The sequence below is a fragment of the Homo sapiens genome, chromosome 5 (assembly GCF_000001405.40).
Source record: "Homo sapiens chromosome 5, GRCh38.p14 Primary Assembly".
Lineage (NCBI taxonomy): Eukaryota > Metazoa > Chordata > Mammalia > Primates > Hominidae > Homo > Homo sapiens.
In genome coordinates, this window is record NC_000005.10 from 69,848,204 (window position 1) to 69,860,535 (window position 12,332).

Consider the following 12,332-nt stretch of genomic DNA (forward strand, 5'->3'; position numbering starts at 1 on the left):
AATCTTCACTTCCTATTTGGGTGCTTTTCTCTTTTTCTGTTGCAAGATTGCTCTGACTAGGATTTCTGGTACTATGTTGAATAGGAGTGGTAAGAGTGGATGTCCTTGGCTTGTTTCATTTCTAAAGGAGAATGCTTTCAGCTTTTGCCCATTGAGTATTATATTGGCTGTGGGTTTGTTGTAGATAGCTCTTTTTTATTTTGAAGTATGCTTATTTGAAGCCTCAACTGTTGAGGGTTTTTTTTTGTTTTGTTTTTTCATGAAGGGACACTGGATTTAATTGAAAGCTTTTCCGGCATCCATTGAGATGATCATATGGTTTTTGATTTAATTCTGTTTATCTGGTGAATCACATTTATTGATTTGCATATGTTGAACCAGCCATGCATCCCAGGAATAAAGCCTGTATTGTCATAGTAGATTAATTTTTTGATATGCTGCTGATGGATTCAGTTTGCTAGTACTTTGTTGAGAATTTTTGAGTCTATGTTCGTCAACAGTGGTCACCTGAATGTTCTTTTTTTTTGCGTCTCTGCCAGGTTTTGGTATTAAGCTGCTTCTGGCTTCACAGCGTGAGTTAGGAAGGAGTACGTTCTCTTCAACTTTTCTGGAATAGTTTCAGTAGAATTGTACTAGTTCTTCGTTATACTTCCGGTAGAATTTTGCTGTGAATCCATATAGTCCAGGGCTTTTTGGCTTGGTAGATTTTTTATTACTTATTCAATTTCAGAGCTTCATATTGGTCTCTTCAGTATTTCAGTATCTTCCTGATTCAATCTTGGAAGATTGCCTGTTTTCAGAAATTTATCCATTTCCTCTAGATTTTCTAATTTTTGTGTCTAGAGTTATTCCTAGTATTCTCTGAGGATTATTTTGTATGTCTGTGGGACCATTTTTAATGTCGTTTTTGTCATTCTGATTTATATATTTAGATCTTCTCTTTTTTTTCTTTGTTTATCTAGCTAAAGGTCTATCAATCTCTTTTTTTAAATCAACTCTTGGTTTCATTAATCTTTTGTATGGATTTTTGCATCTCAATTTCATTCAGATCTTCTCTATTTTAGTTGTTTCTTTTCATTCCTAGCGTTGATGTAGGGTTGTTCTTTTTTTTTTCTTCCCTAGTTCCTTTAGGTGTAGTGTTAGATTGTTAATTTGAAGTATTTCTAACTTTATGATAAAGGCATTTAAACGTTCCTCTTAACACTGATTTAGCTGCATCCCAGAGATTTTGGTAATTTGTGTTCCCATTTTCATTAATTTCACTTTCTTAAAATTTCTCCCTTAATTTTGATTTTCACACAGAAGTTATTCAGGAGAAAGTTGTTTAATTTTCATCTATTTGTGTAGTGTTGAGAGATGTTGATATTTATTTATATTTTGATTACATTGAGATCTAAGAGTGTGCTTGATATGATTTCATTTTTTAAAATTTATCCAGACTTGCTTTATGACCAAGCATGTGGTCAATGTTAGAATATGTTCCCTGTGCAGATGAGAAGAATGTATATTCTGTGGTTATTGAGTGGAGTGTTCTGTAGATGTCTTATTAGGTCCAAATGGTCAAGTGTGAAGTTTAAGTACACAGTTTCTTTCTTGGTTATCTGCTTTGATGATCCAGTGCTGCCAGCGGGGGTGTTGAAGTCTCCTACAGTTATTGGGTGGTCGTCTGTCTTTTTGTAGTCCAAAAAGAACTTGTTTTATGAATCTGGGTGCTCCATGTTGGGTGCATTTATATTTAGGGTACTTAAGTATTCTTGTTTGATCATATACTTTCTCATGACGTAATGCTCTTCATTCTTCAATTGTTCTTTTTAATTTTGATTAAAGTCTGTTTTATCTGATATAAGAATAGTTACTCCTGCTTTTTTGTTATCATTTGCATGGCAGATTTTCTCCATCCCCTTATTTTGGGCCAGTGGCTGTCATTACATATGAGATGAGTCTCTTGAAGACTACAGATGGTGAGCCTTGCATTTTTATCCAGTTTGCCATTGTATGTCATTTAAGTGGGGGTGTTTAGCCTATTTACATTTATGGTTAATGTTGATACATGAGATTTTGATCCTATCATCACGTTTGTAGCTGGTTTTTAGGTAGACTTGATTGTGTAGATACTTTATAGTGCCTGTGAGCTATGTACTTCAGTGGGTTTTTGTGGTAGCAGGTGTCATTCTTTTTACTCAATGTATAGCACTCCCTTAAGGACCTTTCATAAGGCTGGTCAAGTTGAAATTGATTCCCTCAGTATTTGCTTATCTGAGGAGAAATTTGTTTCTTCTTCACTTAGGAAGTTTAGTTTAGTGAAATATAAAATTATTGCCTGGAATTTATTTTCATTAATGATGTTGGACATAGGCCCTTAATCTCTTCTGGCTTGTAAGGTTTTTGCTGAGATATTTACTACTAGCCTAGTGGAGTTCTTGCTTTATGAAAACATGACCTTTCTCTCTAGCTGCCTTTAAGATTTTTTTTTTCTTTTGTATTTACTTTGGTGAATATGATGACTGTGTGCCTTAGGGATAGTCACCTTTTGTAGTGCCTAGCTGGGTTTGCTGTATTTTTTGGATTTACATGTCACTCTCTCTAGCGAGGTTAGGAAGATTTTCATAGACTCTATTCTCAAATCTATTTTCCAAGTTGCCTTTTCTCTTTGTTTCTCTTCTAGGAATGACAATGAGTCGTAGATTTGGTCTCTTTATATAATTCCATATTTCTTAAAGCTTTGGTTCATTTTCTTTTTTTAATTCTTTTTTAAAATTTTCTTTTGACTCAGTTGATTCAACGAACCAGTCTTTGAGCTCTGAGATTCTTTCCTTAGCTTGGCCTACCTTCTGTTAATATTTCTTATTGTATTATAAAATTCTTATACTGAATTTTTTCTGCTCTAGAAATTCAGTGTGGCTGTTGTTTAAAATGGCAATTTCATCTTTCAGCACTTACTTAGATTGCTTTACTGGATTACTTGGCTAGGGTTTCAACTTTCTCCTTAATGTTCATGAGCTTCCCTGCCATCGAGGTTCTGTATTCTATGTCTGTTGCAATTATTTTAGACTGATTAAGAACCATTGCTTGGTAGCTAGTGGGCTAATTTTGAGGTAAGAGGACACTCTAGCTTTTTGAATTGCCAGAGTTCTTGCACTGATTTTTTCTCTTCTGGTAGGGTTAGTGTTCCTTTAACTGTAGTGTATGTTGAGTATAGGCAATTGGTTTTGTTTCTGGATGCTTTCAAAGGGTCAGGGCTTTCTCTGTCCAGGATTTTTATGTATGAGTAATTCTGGTGTTTGGTTTCACAGGTGTATATGTAGCAGGATAAATTTTGATGTTGTAGTTTGGGATGTGATCCAATGCATAGTGCTTAAGAGTGATGGCCAGTGGCTAGCCTAATACCCAGTGGCATGGCTGTTTTATACTTCCTTTTGTTTGCAGGTGTGCTCTATAGTGGGGGTGGGAGAGATGCCTCCATCACCAGATGTGCTCCTGGGCCCTGGGGGAGTCTCCTGCAATCACTGTGTTTCTTGTGTTAGGTGTTCTAGGCCACAGGTCTCTCTCAGGCAGAGGCCCTTTCCTAGGAGCCATTCTGGGGAACTAGCTGTAGTGTTTGGGTTCCCTGCACAGGCTTCCTCCCTCTTCAGCTCAGCTTCATTGCTGCCTCTGCATCCACTCAGCATTTTCTCTCTCAAGATCTGCCTAAATTACGGTGGTTTACTCCATAATTTGGTATCTCTCAGTGGGGGTGGTGCTTCCTGACCATGTCAAATTGACCATGTATTGTCACAGAATGAAAACCTCTTTGATAGACTTTGTAACATTTTTGAATATTACATTCAGGAGTAAAATCTTACGCAGTGTGATCCCAGCTATCTCTTCACTTTTGAGAATAACCTTAAGTAATTAAAGGATAATTAAATATGTAATTAAAAATTGAAAAATATAACAGCTACACTTCCAGATGTCAACTTCTTTCAGAAAATTTTAAAATCTCTTTAAAGAAAGGTAAATTGAGACCAAAATAGATTAATAGCTTTATAAAAATAAGTGCTCAAGGAGGGTGTTACATGTGAAAATTAAACTTGGAATTTGTCATTTTACCCGTAAAATTACTGAGAGTAATTTCCTTGAAATGGAAATAACTTTACAAATTTTTAATTAACAAAAATGCTGAAATATTACTCCGCTTACCTTTATGTAACCTCTTCCTTGAAAACAACAATTTACTCATCTGGTGTGTGACTCTGATAACCTTCAATCATTCTCTATATCTGACACCATGACTAGTAACTTAGATCTTTAACTAAGCAACCTTTCTTTCCACCTTTGTGATATTATATCTAGTAATTTAATAACAGACAATCTATGTTGCAAATTAAACTTCCAAATTGAATAGTAATTTTCAAATCCCAAGGACCCATTTCTTCTGCCTCAATCTTAATTAGGTCTTAGTTAATAGAAAAATTAACTGGCTGGGTGCGGTGGCTCATGCCTGTAATCCCAGCACTTTGGGAGGCCAAGGTGGGCGGATCACCTGAGGTCTGAAGTTCGAGACCATCCTGGCCAACATGGTGAAACCCCATGTGTACTAAGAACACAAAAAATTGGCCGGGTATGGTGGTGGGTGGGTGCCTGTAATCCCAGCTACTCAGGAGGCTAAGGCAGGAGAATCACTTGAACTGGCGGGGTGGAGGATGCAGTGAACCGAGATCCCAGCACTGCGCTGCAGCCTGGGCAGCAACAGTGAAACTCCTCAGAAAAAAAAAAAAAAAAAAAGAAAAAGAAAAAGAAAAAAGAAAATTAACTAAATCAAGCCTAAATAAAACATATTCACAAAGTGGCAGACTTTTTTAATCCAAAAATTTAACTGTATTAATGTCTCATTTATAGAACATTATTTTACAATGAGGTTTTACACATCAATCAGTTGAGTCACTTCTTTTTTTTTTTGAGATGGAGTCTCGCTCTGTTGCCCAGGCTGGAGTGCAGTGGTGTGACCTCAGCTCACTGCAACCTCCACCTCCTGGGTTCAAGCGATTCTCCTGCCTCAGCATCCTGAGTACAGGCACTACAGGCACGTGAGCAAGAGAAGCTGACAGATTCAAATGTTCACAAACATTTATGTTCTATTTTGATAGATACATAAACTATGTTTCTCATTCTTATATACTTTATATTAGGGCATGGGATTAAAGTCAAAATAGTGGAAAATTAGTAGAAATAACATATTTTATATCCAATTAAGTCTCCAAAATCCCAACATGCACTCTTCTGTATACGTTTTTCAGTATGCTTGACTGGAACGGCCAATTCTACAGTAGTCTTGGAAGCAACATACTGCAGATTAAATACCTTAGTAGCCTATGTTCTTGAATGCGGACATAAAGGAGCAATGCTTTTCCTATCTTAAAAAAACAGTTTATATGAATGAAACTTCTGTTCTGTTTAAGATATTATATGTTGTTGAGTGTAGTTGTCAAAGCAACTAGCACGATTCCAAGTAATATAGAAATCACCAGCTTGAGTTGGGTCTGCCATAACAGCACCTAAAACGTATCCACTAAATTAGTATTAAATGGACAAGTAAACCAAACTCAGAGGGTTGAAATGAAGACTTGTAATACCCAGTGAAAAAAAATTATTGAAACTACCATCTAAAATTAATTGGAAGCTTAATATTACCTCTAGGAAAGAGTGTGGGAAATGAGGAAAGGCAAAAGGTAATGTGTTCATGTTTGTTCTGTTCCATAATCCAAGAAATAGATAAACACAGGCAAAAAAAAAAAAAAAAAAAAAAAAGAAAAAAGAAATATCCTGTCTTTAGAGTGGAAAGAAAGTGGATAGAGTTGAGTTGCTAAACCTTAGCATTATTGACATTTTATGCCTGATATTCCTGCATTCTGTGGGAGGTTATTCTTTGCATTGTAGGATATTAATAGTATCTTTAGGCTATACCACCACATACCAGTAGCATCACCACCTAATCATTATAATTCAAAATGTCTCCAGACACTGACAAGTGTTCTATGGAAACAAAGTCATTCCTTGTTGGAAACCACTTGTAAACAAAAAGTCTAGTAATGGTGGAATTATACAGTGACAGAAAAGCTCAGGTTTTTCTGATTAGGTTGAAAAAGCTGCTCAGAAATTAAATCCTACTGTGTTCATAAAAAACAAGGAACCCAGCCCTGAAGCAAAGAACTCATCAGGGAAGTTGTTTTCTCTTTCAAGTCTATGATTTCAAATGACCTTAAAGTGGTCATCTTTACAGTCAGAGAAGCATATGTGTGTTGGGGAGGAGAAAAAAGAAGGAAATGAGGCAGACTTTAGAATTATACCTAGGAAAGAACTGTATGTTTGGTTATAAACTAGATCCAATAAATAAATAAATGGTTTCCACGTAACTACTTGGCAAAGGTACAATAAGCCTATTGTGAGAAAAAAAAATTAAGGCTTAAAATATCCTCAAGCATCCCAAATTGCACTAATCAGTGCAATTGATTAGTCATGCTGAGAAAACACTCATTGTTCTAATTTAAGATGGAGGCATGGAGAATAAGAGAAAATGTAAATTACCTCAGAAAGTAAATCTATGAGCCACAGGGACAATGGACCTTAAAGTTATTTCCACAGGACATGTTTATGGTTTCATCAAATAAATATTTGTACTGCTCAGAAATATTTTTGTCAGTGCTCTGCAGACTTCTTTGTCTTCTGATAGGAGCTTCACCATGGTAACTTAGATTTTACAGATAATTTGTCTTTTGACTTTATAGGACACTAGTCCTCGTTAAGTCATATAGTGGCCTGAGGGAGAGAACTGCACGTCATGAAACATCCTGAACTCTAAGTTGTAGGCAGTAACTGGGCAAAACTTTAAGTTGTTTACAGAGGGAAGAGAAGTGAATTTTTCATATATAAAGAAGTGTGCAAATTGTATTTCATGAGTAGTCTTTTGTCTTCTGGAATGGTGATATATACAAAGTAATCTGGGAAGATACAATTTGGTAATAGTAGATCCTTCGTTAACTTGAATTATTTTTTGCAGGAAAGATGCGTCTTTAGCCAAAATTACTTATGGTAAACTGTTATGTAAGCAAGAAATCACCTTCTACTTGGTTTAAGCTATTCAGTGTACTCTCTAGATAGATATGACACAAAGCTAGCATTATGATACAGTAAACCAAGTGTTAATGTAACTTTATGTTGATTTTGACTACATTCTGAAAATAATAAAAGTCATCTGGTATTTTAGGCTTACGATATGAACTTGATACTATGATAGGTGTCTGAAATGTTTATCTCATTTGATTCTTAGAACAAACTTATATTGTGGGTACTAATACAGTACTGATTTTTTAAATAAGAAAAAGGATTGCAAAAAATGTAAAAAGTCTTATTAAAGAGTACAAAATTCTATCTCCAAATGTGTAATGAATTTTATATAGTCAGTTAATATTTGTTTAGCTCAATAAAGTAATGTTCGGTGTAATAGTTGATTTCTTTAATGTTCATTCAGAATCACATTATCAATTTGAAATTAATTCACCTATTCGAAGAAGTTGCTTCCTCCAATTAAGACAGTATAGTAAGCAAAATAATGGTTTACAAAACAAACAAACCAACAAAAAAAAAACCGCATGTCCTGATTTCTGGAAGCTGTGAATATGTTAACTATCTGGTAAAAGGGGCTTTGCAAGTATTATAATGTTAAGGATGGTAAGATGAAAAAGTGTCCTTTTGAGTTCAGTGTAATCAAATGGGTTTAAACTAGGGAAACATTCTTGGCTAGAAACATAAGGTGGTATGATTTCAAAAGAATGGTCAGAGAGACACAGCATTTCTGGTTTGAACAAATGAAAGACCATAAGCTAACAAATCAGGACAGCCTCTGGAGGCTGGAAAAGTCAAGGAAACTGATTTTCCCCTAAAACCTTCAGAAAGGAACACAACAGTTCTCACTCTTTGATTTTAGCCTCATAAGATGCATTGCAGACATCTGACAAACACAATTGTTTGACACTATATTTGTGCTATTTTAAACCACTAACTTTGTAGTAATTGGCTACAGCAGCAGTAAGAAAATAATGCAGAGTGTTTCTATAATGGAGATAAAAGTATAAACAAGAGGCAAGGATTTCCTTCCTTCACAGTGTTTATAATATACTAAGAAAACAAACATTAAATACACAGGGCCCCAATAGATTATTCCACTTTAATTTTAGCTGGCACTGTGGAAGGAAAATAGAAATTCTAGAATATAGTGAATAGGAATATAACTTATTCTTATGTGGGAAGAAATGCTTATTACTGAATACTATTTGGGCTGAAAATAAATGCACTGTAGTTACAGTAAGTACAGTAAAAAAGGTAGTTTGCTATAAGGGAACAGAGCCATTGAAATGTAATGAAAGTCATCAAAGTTTTAGGCACTAACTATAAGTTGCAAGGAGTTAAACAATTGTAAGCAGTCCGATTATTAAAAAAATATGTGCCTGATTCTCAAAATCACAAGTATTCTTTAAGATTGCTAACCGTAGTAGTCAGTTTTCACAATGATATAAAGAATGACTTGAGACTGAGTAATTTATGAAGAAAAGAGATTTAATTGATTCATAGTTCTTCAGGCTTTACAGGAAGCATGAATGGGAGGACTCAGGAAACTCAGAAAATCATGGTGGAAGGCAAAGGGGAAACAAGGTTCTTCTTGACATGGCACCAGGAGAGAGAGAGCACAAGGAGGGAAGTGCCACACACTTTTAAACCATCAGATCTCTTGGAACTCACTCACTATCATGAGAATAGCATGTGGAAATCTGCTCCCATGATCCAGTCACCTCCACCCAGGCCCCTCTCTTGACATGAGAGGATTACAATTTGAGATGAGATTTGGGTGGGGACAGAGGGCCAAGCTATATTATTTCTCCTCTGGCCCCTCCCAAGTATCATGTCCTTCTCACATTTCAAAACCAATCATGCCTTCCCAACAGACTGGAAGTCTTAACTTATTCCAGCATTAACTCAAAAGTCCATGTCCAAAGTTTCATCTGAGACAAGGCAAATCGCTTCTGCCTATAAGCCTGTAAAATCAAAAACAAGTTAGTTAATTTCAAGACAACAGTGGGGGTACAGGGATCAGGTAAACACTCCAATTCCGTAAGGGAGAAATTAGCCAAAACAAAGGGTCTGCAGGCCCCATGCAAGTCCAAAACCCGACAAGGCAGTCATTAAATCTTAAGGCTCTGAAACAATCTTCTTTGACCTCATCTCTCACGTCCAGAGCATACTGATGCAATATCTGGGCTCCCATGAGCTTTGACAGCTCTGCCTCTGTGGCTCTGCAAGGCACAGCCCCCACAGCTGCTTTCACAGGCTAGGATTGAGTGCCTGTGACTTTTCCAGGCACACTGTGCAAGCTGTCAGTGGATCTACCATTCTGGGGTCTGAAGCACTATGACCCTCTTCTCAAAGCTCCAGTAGGGAGTGCCCCAGTGGGGAATCTGTGTGGGGGCTCCAACCCCACATTTTCCCTCTGCACTGCCCTAGTAGAGGTTCTCCATAAGGGCTCCACTTCTGCAGCAGACTTTTGCCTAGACATCCAGGCATTTCCATACATCCTCTGAAATCTAGATGGAGGTTCCCAAACCTCACCTCTTCCCTTCTGCACAACCACAGGCCCAGCCTCATGTGGAAGCCACCAAAGCTTGAGGCTTGTATTCTCTGAAGCAATGGCCTGAGTAGTGCCTTGGACCCTTTTAGCCACAGTTGGAGCTGAGCAGCTGGAACACTGGGCACCATGTCCCGAGGCTGCCCAGAGCAGCAGGGCCCTGGGCCCATCCCACTAAACAATTTCTCCCTCCTAGGCCTCCAGGCTTATAATGGGAGGGGCTGCCTCAAAGGTCTCTGAAATGTACTGGAGACGTATTCCACATTGTCTTTGCCATTAACATTTGGCTCCTCTTTACTTATGCAAATTTTTGCTTGAATTTCTCCCAAGAGCGTGGGTTTTTCTTTTTTACTATATGGTTAGGCTGCAAATTTTCCAAACTTTTATGGTCTGCTTTCCTTTTAAATATACGTTTCAGTTTCAAGCCATCTCTTTCTTCATGGACATGAGCATAAACTTTTAGAAGCAGCCAGGCCACATGTTGGAAGGTCTGTTGCTTAGAAATTTGTTTCACCAGATACCCTAAATCATCTCTTTGAAGTTCAACATTACACAGATCTCTAGGGCCGGGTCAAAAGGCTGTCAGTCTCTTTGCTAAAGCATAGCAAGAGTAACTTTTTCTTCAGTTCTCAATGAGTTCCTCATCTCCATCTGAGACCCCCTCAGCCTGGACTTCGTTATCCAAATCATTATCAGCATTTTGTTCACAACCATTCAACAGGTCTCTAGGAAGATTTAAACTTTCCCATATCTCCCTGTCTTCTTCTGAGTCCTCCAAACTGTTTCCTACCTCTGCCTGTTACCCAGTTCCAAAGTTACTTCCATATTTTCAGGTATTTTTATAGCAATGCCCCACTGCTCTGGTACCAATTTTCTGTATCTATCTCTTCTCAAACTGCTATAAAGAACTACTGGGTAATTTATGAGGAAAAGAGGTTTAATTGACTCACAGTTCTGCAAGCTTAACAGGAAGCACGACTGGGAGGCCTCAGGAAACTAACAATCATGGCAGAAGGTAAAGGGGGAGCAGGTGCCTTCTTCACATGGTGTCAGTAGAGAGAAGAGCCGGGGGGAAGTTCCACACACTTTTAAACCATCAGATCTTGTGAGAACTCACTGACTGTCACGAGAACAGTATGGGAAATCCACCCCCATGATCAAATCACCTCCTACCAGACCCCTCCCCTGACACGTGGGGATTACGATTCAACATGAGATTTGTGTGGGGACACAGAGCCAAAGTATATCACTCACCTAATAAGTGCTTATCTTGATTAAATTGTATGGAAAACTACAACTTAAATTATGTGATCAGAAATTCTATCTAATGATAGACATTAATTCAAATGCCACCATGTTCTCCTGTCAGCTTCTCATATATTGTCATGGATATGATTTAATTGTCCTTCAGTGTCATGGAACACATCCTGAGATTCAGCTGATGAAGTTGCAAACTGGATAAATATAAATGATGATGTTTCAAAAAAGAAAATCCTCACTTAGTAAAAAAATGTTAGGTTTATTTTACACTTTCTTGACAGCTGAACTAATATAAAAAGCACTCACCTTGTTTCTTTCAGTTTTGTGTATGTTTTGATTGTGTCAGCTGAGTTCTTCTTCACGGGATTTTCTATGTGTCAGAGACACTTGTCCCCCATTCTGTTTTCCTGTGTAATCTCAAAATTGACAAGGGTCTTCACTGTATGTGAAAAGGATGTCTGTGTTGCTTGATTTTATGTGTGACTACTGTTTGCGATTGTCCTTTTCCCAATATGACATGTAATTTTACAGCACAGATAGTTTTTCAAAAGAATTACATTCCCAGGCTTAGCAGAGGGAGCGGCCTACTTATTGAAATGTGAAATCGAATCTCTGAAACAGAAACACCAAATTATTACACTAATCTGTAAAGTAGCTATAAAACGTTATTTTTCAGAGTGAAGTATCTGTCAAGATGGCTAGTTTTGGTGTATAAAAGAAACGGTATTTTATTCCTTTTATTTCTGTAAACAGATTAAGTCTGTGTGTGTGTGTGTGTGTGTGCGCGCGCGCGTGTGTGTGTGTGTGTACATGGGATATAATACAAATCTACCTCGACTTATAATGAGTTACATCCTGATAACCACAGGCCAAGATGTGTTATGATGGATCTGGATATACTCATAAGTTGAAAATATTTTAGGTAAAAAATGCATTTAGTACATTTAACAAAAATACTGGCAAACCGAGTCCAGCAGCACATCAAAAAGCTTATCCACCAAGATCAAGTTGGCTTCATCCATGGGATGCAAGACTGGTTCAACATACGCAAGTCAATAGATGTAATCCATCACATAAAGAGAACCAAAGACAAAAACCACAAGATTATCTCAATAGATGCGGAAAAGGTCTTTGACAAAATTCAATAGCCCTTCATGCTGAAAACTCTCAATGAACTAGGTATTGATGGAACATATCTCAAAATAATAAGAGCTATATATGACAAACCCGCAGCCAGTATCATACTGAATGGGCAAAAACTGGAAGCTTTCCCTTTGAAAACTAGCAGAAGACAGTGATGCCCTCTCTCACCACTCCTATTCAACATAGTGTTGGAAGTTCTGGCCAGGGCAGTCAGGCAAGAGAAAGAAATAAAGGGCATTCTATTAGGAAAAGAGGAAGTCAAATTGTCCCTGTT